Below are 20631 nucleotides of genomic sequence, written 5' to 3'. Positions count from 1 at the left end.
CCGCTTCTGCTTGCTCTCCATGGGTTGTACCCACTGCCTAACCAGTCCCAGTGAGATGAACTGGGTACCTCAGTTGGAAGTGCAGAAATCACCCACCTTTTGCGTTGGTCTCACTGGGAGCTGCAGACTGAGGCTGTTTCTGTTCAGCCATCTTGGCCCCTCCTTATGCCTCTAGATATCTACCCAAATGAGTTGAAAACATGTTCACACAAAAAGCTGCACTTGAATGTTTATAGCAGTTTTACTCATAATTGCAAATAATTGGAAGCAAACTAGAGGTCTTTTTAGAGTTTTTCTCTGTATTGACCTTTCTCTCTATGCCTTCTGATGTGCAGCTAAAACTATATAAAAATATAATAAAATTAAAGGACTTAAAAGGTAGGAACCAAAAAAAAAAAAACCCAAATAAGGAAGAAATAAAGGGACAGAATACTGCTAGAGTTCTTCTTGTAAACATTAGAAGGCACTCTAGCAAATTTAAACAGAAAAGGAATTTATTAAAAGCTATTACATAGCTTGTAGAACCCCAGGAGAACCAGATTTGGGGTTGAATATATAGCTGGGAATAATATCTAAGTCATTCTGCTGGAATGGTTTCGGGAGAAATCATCTACATATGGATAATAAGCTTACAGGACATTGCTCTGAGATCCCCACTCCTGCCCTTCTAATTCCTTGATGTCTTCCAACAAAAATTAGCCATCTTTAACACAAAATAATTCTACACAGTGGCTGCTTGTTCATCTTTCTCTTTTTCAAAAGAACCTTGCATGGGAGCATTTGCTTGACAGTCTTTTGACACTAGGTTGACTCTTCACTTTGAACCTAATTTTATGTCTTTATATCTCTTCCTGGTACCCTGAATCCGTGTAACTAGGTAATTGTTTCCAAACTCTTAATAATGGTTTCTTAATGGGTTCCCAGTGAATCTCCTGGGCTAACTTTAAAAGGAGGGAGGTGTTGGCTAATTATTGTTTTTTAGTGCACTAACTTAAGTATAAAATGTATTCATTTGTTCCTCAAAATTCCTCATATAGATCTTAAAGTGGATCTCACTTTTTTTTTTTTTTTTTTTTTTTTGAGACAGAGCCTCGCCCTGTCACACAGGCTGGAGTACAATGGTGCGATCTCAGCTCACTGCAACCTCTGCCTCCCAAGTTCAAACAATTCTGCTGCCTCAACCTCCCGAGTAGCTGGGATTACAGGCGCGCACCACCACACCTGGCAAATTTTTTGTATCTTTAGTAGAGACAGGGTTTCACCATATTGGCCAGGCTGGTCTCAAACTCCTGACCTCGTGATCCCCCTTGCCTCGGCCTCCCAAAGTGCTGGAATTACAGGCGTGAACCACCGTGCCCGGCCAGATCTCACTTTTTTTTTGCTTTTACCTTCTATATAGTTACCACCAGAACAACTGAATCTGAACATATCAATATTGTGTCTTGTCCCTAGCTGAAAAAAAGTTAGCATTTGTGGGTATGGTCAAGAAAATGATTTATTTATGATGGTATGGATTCTTACATTTAATAATGCTAAAGACTTTATATATTTTATATCAGAAATACTGTTTTAAAACAGAATCTCTGAATATGCTGTCTTGCCTAGAGAGTCTGAAAAAGATTTTATGTTCCTTTTGTTATTTTGTTTGTCTAGTTCACAGAAAATCACTGCCTTGTATTTTTCTAAGCCTAATTATATCTAATAGTTTATTTTACTAAGAGTCTATGGCCAGGTTCTCTATAATAATTTATAATCTATAAATTATTTTAAAGTAGTAGTATTGAAGTTATTACTTTTATAATACGTGAGTTGAAAAATTCTGTTATACTTACAGCATTCGACTTAAGAGTCTCAATGCCAACACAGATATAACTTCCCTGGCAAGGAAGGTGGTTGAAGAATGTAAACTCATTCATCCTTCAAAACTAAATGAGGTAGAACAGCTGTTGTACTATCTACAGAACCGCCGTGATTCATTGTCAGGAAAAGGTAAGTAGTAGAATTCCTGGCTTCCTAATGCAAATCCAAAGTTGTTTGATTATAGTTCATCAAGCAACTATAAAAAAAAGTTTATCAAACTATTGATATTTGATGTTGGGTAGGTTTTTTTCACCAGTGTTATGAATGAGTAAACAACAAAGAATAAACATTAATTGCTTTCATGGTAGGCTTTATATTAGATGCTTCCACATAAAATGGTCTAATTCTTTTTCATGTTTTGTGTGTGTACACATACACTGAAGTAAGAATAAAAAAGGAAATGTCTGTCATATTGATTCTAGAATAATCAAAGGAGAGACTTTGGGGCAGAAAACCTATTTTCACTGCCCCAACTAGACTGATGTTTTATAAACTTCTTTTTTATATTTGTTTATCATTTGGATGGATTATGTAAGTGTTAAAATATATATCATATGCCTTAGACTATCCTAAAGATATAACTTTCATGAATCTTTATTTTCTCTGTTTCCTTTTTTTTTTTTTTTTTTTGCAGCAGAGAAAAAGGTTTAATCTGGGGGTCACCAAACTAGGAGATGAGAGAAAACCTCAAATCCATCTCCCTGAGAAGTTTGGGCCTAGAGTTTTTAAGGGTTTTGGACTGGGCTGAAGTGTGGAGATTGTTGATTGGTCAGAGTGTAAGGTGAAGTAATGGGACAGGATGATGAAGAAGCTGTATTCTCATGCTGATTTCATTCCTCTATGAGGGTCTTCTGACTGGTTGGCATCAGCTGTTTCACTGCAACTCAGGGTCTGAAAAACATTTTCAATGATCCTTAAGCAAAATCCTTATGATTCTAATGTCAGAGATCCTGTCTGTAAGAACAGTGGGGATGTAAATGGTCAGCATGTAGTGCTATGTGACTTTAGCAACAAGGAAATGGGCCAAAGTATAGCCTATTAATGCTTAGTTATAACTATATTTCTGTCTGGAACAGAGTTCAAGTCAGAAAAATGGAAGAAATTTTTGAAAATCTTAGTTTGAAGACTTGTAGCCAGGGAAGAATTCAGGTTTAGTTCAAATTGTAGAAAACAATAAAAACTCAAAAGTAATAGACAAGACTAAGACTAGAATCTAGTAACAGGTATACTATAGTTTCTTTTGAAACAAAATTTTTATCTCTAGTATTCCATTTCTACCAAAGACAAATTATAGTAGGACCAATTTATTTGCAAAATAAGTGTTATACTTTGCCTGACTATTTGCATAAAGTATGGCAAGAATATTCGTTGGCCATATAGGCTCTTTTAAGTTGACTTTGCAGAAACTTTTCCATAAGGAATCTTAGTTTAGACTTTTTAAAAGCCTTAAGGTTAGCTAAACCAAGGATTTATCCATGCCTACAGATACCTATATGAATTGGGTTATTTTGGGACCTCCACTCATCTCTTGTGGAGGTCCCAGAATAACTTGAGGTTTCTGGATCTGTTGAAAGTAACATTTTTTACTTATCGCAGGTGAGGAACACTATAAAGAAACTACATAGACAAGATGGAAGGCTAGTCTTTCCGAGGTGCTTTTATTGGCTCTGTAAAGTCAATGTCAACTCCTCAAAGCAGTCTGGTCATATCTAAAAATATGCCAATCCAGTCAAAGCCTTGGTAAAGTAGCTAGCATCTCCAATTGTGTCCTGCTACCAAAGAAAGCAGATTCTTATTGAATGTATGCAAATAACTATATTGCCATAAAATAAGAATACTTATGAAGGAAGTTTCCACAATTGTGAGAACTCAGGTAGAAAGGCAAATTTTGCTCATAAAGATATACTTTACTTGTCATAAGCTATAAATAGCTCAAAAGAAAAAAAAGTTTTCTTGACTCCTCTTCAGTCAGAGTAGCAGACTTCCAAACAGATTGTTGTCTGTTCACCTTGGAATTGCCATTCATAAACCAGGCAGCTCTTTGTCAGTCAGGTAAGAGCTGTTTAATGGGCACTGTAGAATCCTGCAGCTTCTCACACAGTTTCAGAGTCAGTCCTGGGGAAAAAGAGGCTCCCTGCTCATGAGTGTCTCCTCCTTGAATTTCCCAAGTAGCATGATCATATACAAAGTATCTCCATTTTATTGTGGAACTCTTCTGGGCACTGCTGACCCCAATTAGACTGTTTCTGACATTGCCCCAAAGAGCATGGGTATTTCAGATGTCATGATCATTTTATGTCCTTCCATCATAGAATGTCTTCAGTTAATGTCCTATAACAAGGCAGTAAATGCCTCTTAAGTGAAAATTCTCTAGTTCAGAGTCACAGTAGTCATCACTGGGATGTGCTCACAGACTTTTGCATTCCACAAAAGGCTATCACATGGAGAATTTGTTCCTACCAGCACTCCAGCTTCTATTCTGTATTCTGTGGGCTCAGGCAGTCTTACTGGTTCCCATTTTAGTATGTCCAGTTAATTATAGCTTGAAGGGCAGATTTGTGTGCCTTCAGTTTTATAGTACTAGGTAGAGGAAACATCCCCTAGTCAGATACAATATCCATTTTCATAAGACATTTAGGTAAAGAATACACAATTACTTTACAAAAATCCTATATAAACATTTCAACTTTGATAATCCTATCCACCCTTACATTTTATGTTCTGGTCCTGGGAATTTCTCTTCACTCCCAGACCATTTTACCCTCTCCTGTGAAAAGGGATTTGGGTTCCCAGCAGAGGGTTTAGCTAAGGGACCAAGGCTTTTTAGTCAATCTTTGTGTTGATTAATCACCTCAACATCATCCCCAGGCAGTTTTTGGTCAGTTTTCTCATTCTGATCTTTGTCTTCTGATTTTTTAAAAGATGTCTCCAATTGGGGTAAGTACAGAAAACTGATTTGGTACCCTTTAATATTGGGGGAACCAGCAATTAAGGCCTTTATTTCAACCCCATCAATTTCCATTTTATTCATTCAATTTCTTAATAACTGTCTAAAGATTTTCACTCTGCTGGGATGAGACCCATGACTCTCCCCTTTTCTTTTCCCCTTATTTTTACTCCTATCAATGTTTTCTTCATTCATTATATTTCTTGATAACTGTTAAAACTTCCCATCGTCCTGGGATAAGTCCTTTGATCCTCCCCTCTACCCTTCACCATTCCCTTGTTAACTAACCTAATATTTTCTGTTAGCATCTGTAAGAACCATGAGGAGAAGCTGACCATGACCTGGGTAATGGGCATATTCAAGGGGTGAATATCCCTGTCATCATAATGCCAGTCCCATATGGCTTGCATACAAACCACATTAGCTGCTTCATCTGGGGTACTCCACTTGGCAGTTATAGGTGGAGTCGCACAGTCCCTTTTCTCAGGGTAAAGAGACCTTACAGTGGCTTTTATCCAGTTCATTAGGCTAAGTCTTTCCTCACTAATAATGTCCTGTTTTTCTGGATCATGTATAACCATTTGCAATTGTTTAATAGTGAGCAGTGGGTACCGTACGAACCCAAACATGTTCTTTCACTCTGCAGCATTTTGAAACCAAAGACACTGCTCCCAGATTAGTTACTCTTATAATCCATTTCAATACAGGTTCTTTAGGGAGCTGATGATATTAATCTATAAAATAAAAGGATGGAGGATAAGGAACCTTTGATTCCTGGGTGACCATGTGGTCATCCATGGCATGGAACTGCAGCTAGGCTATGCCCAGTTACTAAACGTAAAAGTTACAGTGAATTTGGAGATGGATACAACTTCTGGGGAGCTGGTTCACTGGATGCATAAGGAAATGCAAACTAATATGAAAAAAGCGTAATATTCAATTCCTTGGTTATTGTTACCTATAATGGCTAAAATGAAAGTAAAAGGGATTGCTGGGTTGGACCTTAAGGCTAGAGAAAGCTCAGATGTGGGTCTGTGTGAGCTCAGGTCACTAGCCTCGAAGCTACCCACAAAAGCGGAAAATTATGTCAGGGCAATATAAAATGCCTCCGCAACCTGTGGTCTCCAAGAAGGTAGCCAATGTAGAAGAAGAACAAAATGAAGTAACTGTTGAAACCAGAGTATATAGTATAAAGGAATTGTTCTGTTTCATAGAGCTCCCACTCAGTCACAGGTCAAGTTTTCAAGGACATAAAACAAGATGAGAGGAACCCTCAGTTAGTACCTCCCCTTTATGAAGAACACAGAAAGACAAAGAAAAGATTATTTCTGGAAAGAAAGGGAACAATATGAATATTCATAAACCAAAAAGTACACTGCAGTCAATATTTCCCAAGACTAGTCATACACATCTTTTTCTCCTATTAATCAAAACCTTGCAGGAGACAGTGATTTTTTACCTTTTGCTCAGCCAGATTTCACACAGAGAGATCAGGAACCTGACTGGTAAATGATTCTTACTACCCTGTTGCCAGCTTGTCAGGTTCCTGGATTCTCTTAAACTGTGGCTTCCAAAAGAGCAGAGCTTTGATCACCCTGCTTGCTGATTATGAAAGAAAACCATTTTCTTTGTTTTCATGGGTTCATAGGTGAAAGCTGCCCAGTTTTGCAAGATACAATCCAAGGGGCTGCTTGATGTAGGAGGGATTAAGTTAGTATTTCCCGTATCGACCAAGACAAAATTACAATATACGCATAACAAAGACAAACACCAGTTACTTGGCTCAATATCCAAGTTTTAACCTAGCAAAACAGATAAAACAGACCCCCCTTTCCACCCGTTAGGCACATTGAACTTCTGCTAATGTTTCCTTCTGGGTTCCCCACACACAAACAGGACAAGATAAGAACAGACATGAGACCCTGATAAGTCAGAACTCTAAAACCAGGTTTCATAACTGAAACGAAATCGCCCAGGAGTACTTCCCCCAAATGTTGCCCTTTATTCTCCTTCCAGTTGGGGAAATTCCCCTTAAACAGGGCCCTTTTTACAGATTGGGAAGGGTCAGCAGGACTTCTGAAGAGGGAACACGACCTTTAAGGAGGCCAACAGATCAGGAGAAGGCAAAAGGGATGTCGATTGCCCTTGGCAACACTTACCGGAGAAGTCTTTCAGATTCAGAAACTGTTTCTGTACTCCAAGCAAGCTTATGTGAAGGTCGGTAATGCCTTGCTGGCAAGGGAGGCACCAGAGACAGCCCCTGGCTTAAAGAAGCCAGGCAGCCACTTGGACTCATCTCCGGGCCTCTGAAATGCTAAGAGGTCACCGAGCCACAGGCAGATGCCTACGAGGGGTATCCCTTTATGAGTTCACCACTAAATTGTAACCATACCTGGCTAATTTTTTACATTTTTTGTAGAGACGGGGTCTCACTATGTTGCCTAGGCTAGTCTCAAACTCCTGGGCTCAAGCGATCCTCCTGCCTTGGCCTCCCAAAGTGCTGGGATTGCAGGCATGAGCCACTGTGCCCAGCTGGTGCTCTTAAAATAATGTATCAATGCTCAAGTTTTGATTGGACTAAGTAGGAAAAAAAAAGAAAATTTTGTTTGGAATTTTTTCAAATTAGTCAGTCTCTCTTCATCCACAGCTAATAAAATGCCTTGTACTTAATATATACTTTTTTTAGCTGTGAATACAGTATCTAACATAGATGATCAAAATATATTTGTTGAATGAATTAAATGGTTGTAAATTTATTTACAAGCAAAAAGGGCTGGGTGTGGTGGCTCACGCCTATAATGTCAGCACTTTGGGAGGCCGAGGCGGGCGGATCACGAGGTCAAGAGATCGAGACCATCCTGGCCAACATGGTGAAACCCCATCTCTAGTAAAAATACAAAAATAGCTGGGCGTTGTGGTGTGCGCCTGTGATCCCAGCTACTCAGGAGGCTGAGGCAGGAGAATTGCTTGAATCCAGGAGGCAGAGGTTTCAGTGAGCCAAGACCATGCCACTGTACTCCATCCTGGCACAGAGCGAGACTCCATCTCAAAAAAAAAAAAAGCAAAAATAGACATTTTGAACATGATTGCTTCTAATCACATAGTTGGCATTCAGTTAAGTACTACGTAGATAAGGAAAATATTATCAAGGGAGATTTTTATTAAACAAATATTTTGTTGGTAGAATATTCTTGTTAAGATGTCTGTAAATGGTGAGAGATCGCATAGTCCAATAAATCCAAGTAGAAAAGCAAATCTGGTAGTCTTTTAAGATCTGCGTCTACTTATTGTAGGTTGTATAGTATAGTTGATCTTTCCTAGTGCCACATTAATATAATTCTGAAGGCATTTAGAATAAAATATCTTTGAACTAGTAAAAACTCTTTCACTGAGTTTTTGGGGCAAATCAGTGGTTTTATCTTGCTCCCCAGAAATTAGAGGAATATGAAAAAATTTCTATGTCATCATACATGGATAAAATAATTCAAATCAATATTTTCTCTACCCAGGTAGAGTATTATTAATAATTGAAGATATAGGAAATGCTTTAGGAAATGTATATTAAATATACACTTTTTAGAAAACTATTGGTTTTCTTTGTTAAAACTCTTTTACTTGGTAAGCGGTATTCCAAAGCCAGAAACCTTATCTTAAAAGTGATTGAAACAAAATAATAATACTTATTTGATTCATTACATTCAGTGATTTTTTTTGCATAATTAAAACCACTGTCTTAGTAAATTATCTGTTTGAAGCAGAATTAAGCTGTTGAGAATGTATGAGCTTATACAGAATGGGTGCTGTCCTCTGAAAATAATGACTAATTCTATCATATATTTATTTGCTAATTGTGGAATCAAAAATTTTGATAACATTCTAACTTACTTTAATTTACATACATTACTTAGACTTATGATCCAGATCCATAAAGTATATTTGATAGTTTTTTTGTTAAAAAATGAAATTATGCCATTAATCAGATAATTCAATATAAACGAATGGCTCAAACTTGTGTTCAACACCTTTGGATACCTCTTTATTTGGGAATAAGTGAGGATTTAATTAACACACGTAATAAATGTTTGCCTTTTAATTTATTATCTTAATTTTACTTGTTAAAAAAGAACCAGTTAGCAACTATTCTATATCTTAGGTTTTAAATTTACCAATTTTTTTTTCTTTCTGCTTTGTTAATTTTCATTTTAGTTTTTATATTACTCAAGTCGTACTTTTTTCTTTGCCTTATTGATTTTCCTATTCCTACCTTAAATTTGAATTAGGAAGGGAAAGAGAGGATACTTAGAACAGACTATTTTGCTTCTTGTTGCCAAGTCTGACTGTATACCTTATATACCCAAAAAGTTAACCAAGGAGGAAGTTGGTGATTAGTTATAGATTTTATTAATTTATACTCTCCTTGATATCCTCATTAGATCAAGTGGATTATATATGAACATTTTTATGCATTGAGAAGAGATTATTTCATAAACTATTTAGTTTTAATATCCCCAGTTTACCTAGAGTTAAACTCAGCTGCTGAAAATAAAAATTACCTAGAAACCCTAAAAACCTAAGTCTCCTTATTAAAAAAAAATCTTTTTACAGAGAAAAAAGAAAAATCAAGCAAGCCTAAAGATCCACCTCCTTTTGAAGGAATGGAGGTAAGACTGCATGCATTCTGATCTAATAGAGGACTGGATTATAAGATATTGCCTTTTTCCATCAATAATACACACAATCACATTAAGCACATGTGGTATTTTTAAAAAATGACTGAACTCAGAGGTACCTGAAAAGGTAGAAAATCATTATTTAATTGAAAAAGAGAAAAAGTATTGGTTCTGCTTTTTTTGCTCTATCTCATCTCACCACAACCTCCGCCTCCCGGGTTCAAGCGATTTTCCTGCCTCAGCCTCCTGAGTAGCTGGGATTACAGGCATGTGCCACCACGCCCAGCTAATTTTTGTATTTTTAGTAGTGATGGGGTTTCACCATGTTGGTCAGGCTTGTCTCAAACTCCTGACCTCGTGATCTGCCCATCTCAGCCTCCCAAAGTGCTGGGATTGTAGCTGTGAGCCACCGTGCCTGGCTAGGTGTGCTTTCTAGACAATTAATTTTGATAAATGATGGGTAAAAATGTTTACATATTCTTATTGTAATACGTTTTGAAATATTGTTTAATCTACTGTAGTAGATACAAATATTTTCTATTACATTTAAGATACTTTATATTGATAGACAATTTTTAAAGTTTATATAAATCTCATTTTATCATGGGGTTTTGTATTAGAGTCCTAGGTCTAAAGGTCTAAAATTTCCATATCCAAAAAGATGGCTACTATGAGTTCTTTGGAAATTTGTGTGTTGTTATAAAGGCCAGTATATTGATCACAAAATAACATTTCTTTGACAGTGGATCTGTTGAGCATTGTTGATGAGTACTTTCTGCCTCTTTGTTTCAGATTGATGAAGTTGCTAACATTAATGACATGGATGAATATATTGAGTTATTATATGAAGATATTCCTGACAAAGTTCGGGGTTCTGCTTTGATCCTGCAGCTTGCTCGAAATCCTGATAACTTGGAAGAACTACTATTGAATGGTGATTACTATAAAACATGTTTAATTATAATAGAGGAATAAGTTACAGTTATTTATACAAAACTTAAGACTTCATATATTTTCCAGCTCTTTATTTCTTTCTTACTCAGATTTCTTAAATTGAGAGTGTAGCATTTAAATATTCTCCAGAGAATTCACAAACCATTTAATGTAAACAAGGAAAATTAAGCATTAATGGTACTATACCTTTTCTTTCTTCTACTCTGGGAAGCTTTTTTATTGTTTCAAGTAGGATATAAGATCAAACTTTAGACATTTGCATAAATATATATATCATGTTTTATTAAATTAAAGTTCCAATATTCATTTTTTCTCAGTAGCACAGGGAAAGCTATTAATCTTTGCAGTTTCATTGAGATTGAATTTCACATCAAGTGTTTGCTTTCCTTTCACTAAAAGTACTTGGTAGTAACAAGAAAAGGAGATAGAATGTTTTTAACACCCTTTTCTCAATAACACCACTATAGAATCATTTTTGTTTTGTTTTGTTTTTGTTTTTGAGACAGGGTCTCCCTCTGTTGCCCAGGCTGGAGTGCAGTGGCGCGATCTCCGCTCACTGCAACCTTTGGCTCACTGCAACCTTCAGCTCACTGCAACCTCCGCCTCCCGGGTTCATATAATTCTCCCACCTCAGCCTCCTGAGTAGCTGGGATTATAGGCACGTGCCACCACTCCTTGTGTGTGGTTTGTTTTTTTTTTTTTAGTAGAGACAGGGTTTCACCGTATTGGTCAGGCTGATCTGAAACTCCTGACCTCAGGGGATCCACCCACCTCAGCCTCCCAAAGTGCTAGGATTACAGGTGTGAGCCACCAGGCGCCCTGCCTATAGAATCATTTTAAATGCATAGTTTTCTGATTATACATTTGCCAAAAACAAAATAGGAAAGATGTATTTATTATCTGGTTTGCATTACATGAGAGAGAATGCCTTTCTGGTTGTTGCCAAATACCTGGATAAGATAATTCAAATCAATAGTTTTGTCGATCAGTACTTTCAAATAAGTATTTCAAATGTCTTTTCTGCTATATGCTTGCCATTCTTTTATGAAGTAGATAATTCTTGAAAACTTATTCTGTGGCAGGTACTGTTCCATATTTTCATGGAATTGTTTTAGTGTTCCCTTTCCTTCTGTTCCATTGGTTTATTTGATGATATACATACCAATACCACACTATTGCTGTGTTGTTTTGTATTTTGATTTGAACTTTAGAATATGTAGGAAAAATGTTCCAAATTGCTTTCTTTTGCCCCAAAATTGGCTTTACTGGTCTTGCACATTTGTCTTATATATTTTGAGATTACTTCATCATAATCTGTGAAAAGACGTAATGGGATTTTGATTATGATTGCATTCAATGTAGAAATTAATTTTGTGTTGTCTTTTGACCTCTTGTAAACTATATTTTCTTTTAGCTGTTTCTCAGTAAACTGTGTACAACTCCTGTAACTATATTTTAATTGAGATGTTTCTCTATTCTGTTTTAAGGAGAAAAATGAAATAAAATTTTGCAAATAGGCCACTAAACCTATGCCTAAATTTATGACATTATAGAACAGTTCTGTATAGGCTAGTATTTAAAGAAATACTATTTTATCTGGATTATAATGGTCAAATACCTTTGGGAATTACTAGATTGAACAAAGCTACACCAGATTATTTATTAAATAGGACTTTTTGGAGGCTTTGCTGTTAATATGCATTGTCAACCTATTTATGTGACTCCAAAATAATTTTTTTCAAAGCATGTACTATTCAAGTTCTCTGCATTGTGAATGTGAATAATACTGTGAAATGCTATCATAGGATGATTTTTAATTTGCTAAAAAATTTGTCACTACGTGGATTCATAACTAATACAATCAATTTTTGTTCATAGTCTGAATAGCCAGAAAGCTCAAATATGGGACATTTTCATTACCATAATAAATACTCATAATGCAGTCCATAAAGTACTATTGTAAATCCTGAGTATCTATTAAGAACAGTGGAATTATGATTTCTATATTTTAACATACAGATATTTTAATTATTTTAAGAATTAGTATGCCATGTACCAACCTGATTTGAAACTAGTGTCATTACTTTATAATTTTCATTTCCTCAAGAGAAAATTTTAGCAGAAATGCTTATTAACCTACCTGAAAGTTAATTTTGTGAAAGCTTTTTGTTTTATTTGTGGCTACTAGCATAAATTCAGTGTGATACTGAAATATTAAATTTATTTTTCTGTGTATAGATTTTATTTGGTTTTTAATTTGCTTTAATGGAACGAGTGTTAGTCTACTAACCTGCTCATTTTTTTCTAGACTTATTCAAGTTTTTTTCATATTATCAAATACATTAAATCAGATGTTAAAAAGAAAAAAATCAGTACTGAAGTAGGAAGATTACAGTTCTTAATTTAAGGTTATTAAATTAAGAAATGAAAGGCTTTTTAATTATTTTATTGTCACCATAACATATGTCACTTTATCTAAATCATATTTGATTACTTCTGTGTATAGTATATACTTGAAGCAGCATGTTACGTATCTTTAAGTAAAATTACATTTTAGTTTTAAAAGTAGCTGTCTGTATTGGAAAGAAGCATCCTACTTTTTGTCCCAGTTCTATCTTAGCTTTATTATTCATTAATAACTAGACATTTAAAACCAATCACCCTTTATACCAGAGCAAGGAGAATGATCGTTTCGGTACCTCTCCTTTTTCTTTAGAAACTGCCCTTGGTGCATTAGCAAGGGTCCTGAGAGAAGACTGGAAGCAAAGTGTCGAGTTAGCTACAAACATAATTTACATCTTTTTTTGTTTCTCCAGGTAAGTATAAAAATTATTAAATAAAAAGGCTACTGTATCTCTATTGCTCTTTGTCTGTGTCATTGATTCAATTTGTAGATCACTTGTTCTCTCAGTTTTTCTGTGTGTCTGCCTATGCTCTACTGCTGAATTCTTATTCCTGTTTTCCATTGTCTGTCTTGCTATCTGTTATTCTATCTTTCATTTAGTCTATACCCACTCATGCCTCAGTTTCCTTATGAGTAAAATTTGGATAGTAATAGTGGCACCCTCTTTGGATAGTTTTTTGGATTAAATGAATTAAAAATTAAAATACTTAGAATAAAGCCTGACCCAGAGTAAGTGCTCAGTAAATGTTATTGTTATATATATGCATGTATGTACAAACACATACCTGTTATGTATTGTATTTATTATTTATACACATATATCCTTAAGAAAGAAGATACTTATTAAGACATTATGAAAAGTTTCTACCCAATTCCTAGATAATTGCTGCTTCTGTTCTAAAAATGTGCTAGTATTAGCAAATAAATATTTATTGAATAAATACTTGGATTAATGTATTGTCTAGAAAACATATGTAAAACCTGATTACTAGTACTTTACGAATTCTCTGATGTCAGTTTTATACAATAAATAAAATGTATGTCTAGTATTGCTACATTATTAGTTTTGTTAGACAATAATCTAAAAATCTATTCTGAATATCTGAGTAGTTAATATGGTGGTTAGTTACAAAAAATGTCTACTTTCTAACTTCTTAAAAATAACTATTTTAGGTAAGAGTAGTGTGATATATTTAAAGTAATTTTATAATCGCAAGTCTTCCTAGTGTATTGTGGATATATTCATTTATTAAAATATGTATATCAAATTTATTTTCTACATGGTTCGTACCAGTGATCACCAAAAACAAATTTCCTGTACCCATAAAATGTATTCTTTTAAATATATATTAAAATGTCTTCTTTAAAGCTTTTCTCAATTTCATGGACTTATTACTCACTATAAAATTGGAGCTCTGTGTATGAATATTATTGATCATGAGTTAAAAAGACATGAGCTTTGGCAAGAAGAACTCTCAAAGAAGAAGAAAGCTGATATCCTTTTAGAGTGGCATTTGAACCGTCTGTTGTCTTTTGCTTTAAGTTTTGGATGGGTGGGATGGTTTTGTTCTTTTTTCTTTTTTAAAAATTGTTAATTACATTACTTGGAAACAATGCAGGAGTGTGTTATTGAAGGTTAAGAAGTAGATTGAAACTATCAAAATGAATACAGTTTGATATTCACTTTTTGTCTCTTCACAACCTTTATTAGTTAATGAGGTAGAAGGAGCAGGTAATAGTTGTGTCGGGTAACTTAGTAGGTGAGCCTCTAAGTGGTTACATCATTACATCCACTAAGATCCTTTGGTTAGTTGAAGCCTGGCCCACCACTGCTGCTTATATACTTCTGTGTGAGTACTAAGGTGACTTTGATTAGAATGGGTGTAAATTTGGTGATGAACCTAGTTAAAGGTTCTATTTTTCTAGGAAAGTGCAAAAATACTGTTGTTAATAAATAAAAATTTGAAAGGCCTATAGAATAATAGAACCTGTGAAAGGAAACTTAGGTATCTGTTTTAACCTATCTTACAAATATAAAAATATTTCTGCAACTTCCCTGGCAAATGCTATTACATAGGCTCCTCTTTAACAATGTCAGTGTTTATTTATTTCACCCATTCTGTGGTTTAGCATTCTGTTTATTATAATAGTCTTTTGCTTAGTGCACTGAAGTCCATTCCCCAATAACTTCTATCCATTGGTTCTAGTATTGTATACTAAAGCAATATGGAATAAGGCTATTCTCTTCAACATCATAATTCTTCTCATATTTGAAGATATTTATCATATTTTAGCCTCTAAACTCAATGCTTCTAGATCAAAGGCCCCTGGTTTATTCATATCTGTTCAACCATGATATGTTTTGCAGATCAACTAGGCATGCTGGTAACTTTCCTTTGAATCAAGTGTTTATTATGTCTTTTAAAAAGTGAAAACTTTATTCCTATTTTGCAGAATATCATACATTTTTAACTCTGCTTTGTGCAAAAGTGGACCTTACTTTTATATTAATTTTGGCCTCTGGAAACCCTGAGGCTTCAATTTAATCTATGTTGTAACAGGTTAATTCAGGTTATTGTGTACAAAATCTCTCAGGCTTTTACTGTTGTCACATGGAACTCCAAGACACTATAAAATCCACACCCACACACAAGCTTTGACTTTTCTTAATTAGAATCTTTTCAGGTTTATAAATTTTCTATGCATACCATAAACTTCTGGCATCTAGATTGATAGTGACTCAACTACATCAACAACCCAAGAATCCTAGAGACTTTACATCAGTTCTGGAGTCACAAGACTCCTGAATGCTTCAGTGGTACCCAAAATTTATTTAAACTGGAGAAGTATGGAGGGAACCACTAGTGGAACTCTTTAGCAATCATGAATTTGCATTTTGTTATTGTTTGGTGACAAGAACTGATATCTTAGGACATATTGTATTTCTGTATCAGACACCATTAATTTTAAGATTCACTATTGTTTAAGTGCGAGGAGAGGAACATATGCTTTCAATTAAACTATGACACATCAGGGATTATAAGACACATCCAGTTTTGGAGATGTTAAGATGTGAGGAAAATGTATCTTAGACTCAACAGATTATGGTAATTGAAGGGATATAAAAATGACATCAGAATTCTGGTCATTTCTCCTGACATGTTGCTATTTTATTATGTCCTAAATTTCTTTGTATTTTGATACAAGTGGTATTCAACAAGGTCAGCTGCATTGACTCATATTCTGGGGTCATATGCTTGACTCATATGCTTGGGGATACTGAAGTAACTGATTATTTTTGCAAGAAGTCCAGAGGACGATTTGGGACCAGAAGATGTGATTTTTAAAATTTGTTTACCTTTAAGTTTGGGTTAGTTCTTTCTTGGCATCTCTAGTCTGAAAAGGCTGCTACAAAAGCTTTAGATTTAATCTATATCCTTTGAATATTCTGGGCATCTGTCTGAAGTAAAATCCAGTGTTCTTAGTAACTAAATCACTTTCTGAGGCAGTAATTTTTTTGGTTCGTGGACCCACTTGATAATCTGTTGAAAGTTATAGACTTGTGCACCTATATAAAATATTCACATATAGTTTCTGGGAATTCAAGTATTTGGTGAGGTTCAAATATCTATATGATGTTAGCTGTGGGCTACATAAAAAAGTTTGTTCACCCAAAGACTCCCAGGGAATCCATGAGCACTTAAATAAGAAGTGCTGTTACAGCACAGTTATTATGCAGATAACATTTTAGTTAAACTTTTGGTGAGAAAAATAACTGGATAAAGTTGCACATAAAATTTAATAGTGCCATTGTTCATAGAATTTATCAGTAGATTTTTTTTGCTTCAATGAGTATGGATGATCCTTAACAAGTTGTTTACTTGATGAAGACCCTGAAAACCAAACCTTGAGAAAGGATTATGAAAAAACCTTTAAAAAGTACCAGGGGCTTGTGGTAAAACAGGAACAGCTATTACGAGGTATGAATTCCTAAGCAATGAGGAAAGCAACAAAGTACTTACTCCAAATACATTTGTTTTGTTCACTTTTTATCATACCTGTAAAGCTAATGTGAGAATAGCTGAAAGTTCTATAAATGTTAATATGCTACAAGTTCGTCTGTCTTTAGCATGGGTAATGTTTTAAATTTCACTCTACTATTTTTCCCCATTTAGTTCCTAAATGTTTGTATACTTATTATTTATTTCCTAAGAAAGGATTTTTTAATCCAGTGTGTGACCTTTTCAATAATATCAATCTTTGTCTCTTCAGCCCTAACTTACTTGTTTTATAAAGTGAATTATTTTGTTGCTTTCCTAGGAAATTGATATAAACATTTTAAAATATTTCTCTTGTTTAATAGAAAAGAATTCCTTGTCTCTAGCTTTATTAAGATATTTAAAACTTCAATAGTATGGTTTCTTGGTTACTGATAAGATGTAAAATCTTATGGTGGTTAGTGATAATGACATGGGGCTTTTAAGTGTGAATTTAAGTCCGGATTTATACTTGACTATTTGATGATTCATGTAGTTTATTGGTGTTTGACTAACTTTGTACATGGAAATACTTGTTAACTCCCAAAATATTTTCATCCTGTGAAGATTAGTAGCAATTTTAACTACACTGAGTTTTTTAAATATTTGAAGCCAAGTAATTTAGTTCAACCTGTTGGAGAAAATGTCAGATTTTCAAAGGTTCATTTTAAAATATGCTAGAAAATAATAGGTATTATCTGTGTTAGCATATAATCCAAAATGCATCAGATCTCAAGAAAGCAATTGTTTTCATGTAAAAGTTTCAAAGAACTAATTTGACTTTTTTAACATGCAAAACTTTAAGCTCTGTTTCTAACCAAATATTTATGCAAATATTGTATACTCTCTTAACAGCTTTATTGAGGTATAACTGATAGACAATAAACTGTATAGTTTTAAAGTATATAATTTGATAAATTTTAACATATGTAAATACCCATGAAATAATGACCATAATCAAGATAAGGTACATATCCATCACTCCCAAAATTTCCTCATGCATCTTTACAATCTCTCCCTTTCCTTCTTCCTTCTGCCTTCTTCCTCATTCCCAAGTCATCACTGATCTGCTTTCTGTCACTTTAGCTTAGTTTGCATTTTCTAGAGTTTTATATAAATGAAATCATATAGTATGTATGCATTTTTGTCTTTTACTCAGCATAATTAAAGATTCATCCATATTATTGCATTTATCAATAGTTTATTCCTTTTTGTTATTGAATAGTATTTCCTTATATTCACCTGTTGATGATCATTAGAATATTTCCAGTTTTTGGCAATTTTAATGCTGCTGTGAACATTTTTCTACAAGTCTTTGTATGGACATACGCTTTCTTTTCTCTTAGTTAAATACCTAATGATGGAATGGCTGAGTCATAGGATAGGTGTATGTTTAACTTTGTAAGAAACTGCCAAATGTTTTTCTATAATAGTTGTTTTTATATTCTCACCATGAATGTATGTGGTTTTGATTTGAATTTCCCTAGTGACTGATTAATGTTGAGCATCTCCTGATGTGCTTATCTGCCATCTCTTTATGTTTATTGAAGTGTGCCTTCATAACTTTTGCCTTATTATTAAATTGGATAGTTTTGTATCCATTCTTTATATGTTTTGGATATAAGCATTTATCAGATACATGATTTGCAGAAATTTTTGTTCTCCTAAAGTATCTTTTTAAGAGCAGAATTTTACATTTTTATGAATTCCAACTTAGTGTTTTTTGGATCATGGTTTTGGTATTGTGTCTAAGAAATCCTTTCCTAACTAAAGGTTACAATTATTTTCTAATATGTTTTCTTCTAGAAGTTGTATAGTCTCAGAGTTTAGTTAAGGCTATAATATATTTTGAGTTAATTTTTGTATATGGGGTGAGGAATGGATCAAAGTTCTTCATTCTTTTTGCATATAAATAGCTAATTATTTAAGTACTACTTTTGAAAACACTATCTTTTATCTACTGAATTGATTTATATCTTTGTCAGAACCATTTGTCCAATGTGTCATGCCTATTTTTGGGTTTCTATTTTGTTCTATCCATCACTTTTGTGTGTTTTTGATGCCAATAGCACAGTGTCTTCATTACCATAGCTTATGGAAAATGTTGATATTGGGTGCTTTTAGCCCTACCAATTTTTTATTCCATTGATTTCTACTTTGATCTTTATAATTTTTTTTCTTCAGCTTACTTTGGGTTTAATATACTCTTATTTTTTGTTGTTGTTGTTGTTGTTGTTGTTGTTTAAGTGGAAGCTGAGGTCATTTACTCAAGACCTTTCTTCTCAAATACAGATATTTAGTGCTATAAATTTCCCATTAAGCACTTCTTTGATGGCATCCCACAGATTTTCATATGTCCTGTTTTCATTTTCATTCAGTTTAAATACTTTCCAGTTTCTCTTTTGGTTTCTTTTTTGGCCCTTGGGTTATTTAGAAGGGAGTTATTTTTTTCCCAAATAATTGATGTTCAAGGCTTTACATGTGTTGATGCTTTTCTGTACTTTTTCTATTATTGAGAGAGTAATATTGAAATCTCTGACTATAATTGTGATTTATTTATTGCTCCTGCACATCTATCAGTTTTCAGTACATGTATTTTTGAAGCTCTGTATTCTTGGGGACATAAAGATATAGGATGTAGATGTGCTATTGATGAATTGTCCTTGTTATCAGTATGAAGTGTTCTTCATCATGGCTGGTAACATTTTTTGGTCTGAAATCTACCTTTTCTTATGTTAATCTACTTCTTCTTGTGACTAGTGTTAGTATGGGATATATTTGTCTATCCTTTTATTTTTAATATATTTATGTCTATATTAAGTGTGTTTTTTTATGAACAGCATTTAGATTGGCTTTGCATGTTTGTGTGAGTATGTGTCTTCTTCCTCCTTTTTCCTTCTTGTCTGCCTTCTTACGTATTTGAGATTTTTTAAATTCTATTTTATTTCCATTGTTAGCTTAGCTATAAGTCTTTTGTTATTTTATTGATTGCTTTAAGGTTTATATTATACATCTTTAATCATAGTTGTCTACCTACAAGTGATACATGCTTAACTTATCATAAGTTAACTCTGCTGTCAAGTATTTTGTGCCATTTCATGCTTAGTGTTGCAATCATTTCTTCCCTCTCCCAACTCTATGCTATTACTAACATTTATTATACTTATACATATGTTATAAACCCTATAATAAGGCCAGATGTCGTGGCTCACACCTGTAATCCCAGCATTCTGGGAGGCCTAGGTGGGCAGATCACTTGAGGTCAGGAGTTTGAGACCAGCCTGGGCAACATGGGGAAACCCTGTCTCCACCAAAAAACAAAAATTAGCTGGGTGTGGTGGCACACGCCTGTAGTCCCCAGCTACTCAGGAGGCTGAGGCAGGAGAATCACTTGAACCTGGGAGCGGAGGTTGCAATGAGCCAAGATCGCACCATTGCACTCCAGTCAGGTGACAGAGCGAGACTCCGTCTCAGAAAAAAAAGCCAAAAACAAACAAACAAAAAACTGTATAACACATTATCATTTTATATACATAATTTTATTTTAAAGATATATTTAATAAGAAAATAATCTTATATATTTCCTTGTAGAGTTACCATTTCCATTGATATTATTCCTTTGTGTAGATCCATATTTCTGTGTGCTGTCATTTTCTTTTTGCCTGAGCAATTTACTTTAACGTTTCTTGTAGGACATATTTACCAGTGGTTAATTATCTTTTGTGTGTCTAAAAAAGTCTCATTTTAAAAATATTTTTA

At 34.3% G+C, this 20631-nt stretch overlaps 1 protein-coding gene across 10 annotated transcripts in view; it reads left to right on the top strand.

The window, feature by feature from the left end:
• The window catches only part of KIFAP3 (kinesin associated protein 3), a 163856-nt gene that overhangs the window by 36484 nt on the left and 106741 nt on the right, over window positions 1-20631 (top strand). For 9 of the 10 annotated variants that reach the window (XM_024454186.2, NM_001204516.2, NM_014970.4 and 6 more), the window contains 6 exons: window positions 1835-1989; window positions 9413-9468; window positions 10270-10411; window positions 13148-13247; window positions 14205-14329; window positions 16717-16815. In XM_024454186.2, coding sequence (XP_024309954.1) covers window positions 1835-1989; window positions 9413-9468; window positions 10270-10411; window positions 13148-13247; window positions 14205-14329; window positions 16717-16815 — 677 coding nt within the window. Of the gene's footprint in view, window positions 1-1834; window positions 1990-6860; window positions 7025-9412; window positions 9469-10269; window positions 10412-13147; window positions 13248-14204; window positions 14330-16716; window positions 16816-20631 lie in introns of all 10 variants that reach the window. The other variant, NM_001204514.2, reaches the window with a different exon arrangement.

This window comes from Homo sapiens, chromosome 1 (assembly GCF_000001405.40).
Source record: "Homo sapiens chromosome 1, GRCh38.p14 Primary Assembly".
Classification (NCBI taxonomy): domain Eukaryota; kingdom Metazoa; phylum Chordata; class Mammalia; order Primates; family Hominidae; genus Homo; species Homo sapiens.
This window is presented reverse-complemented; position numbering and strand designations above follow the sequence as displayed.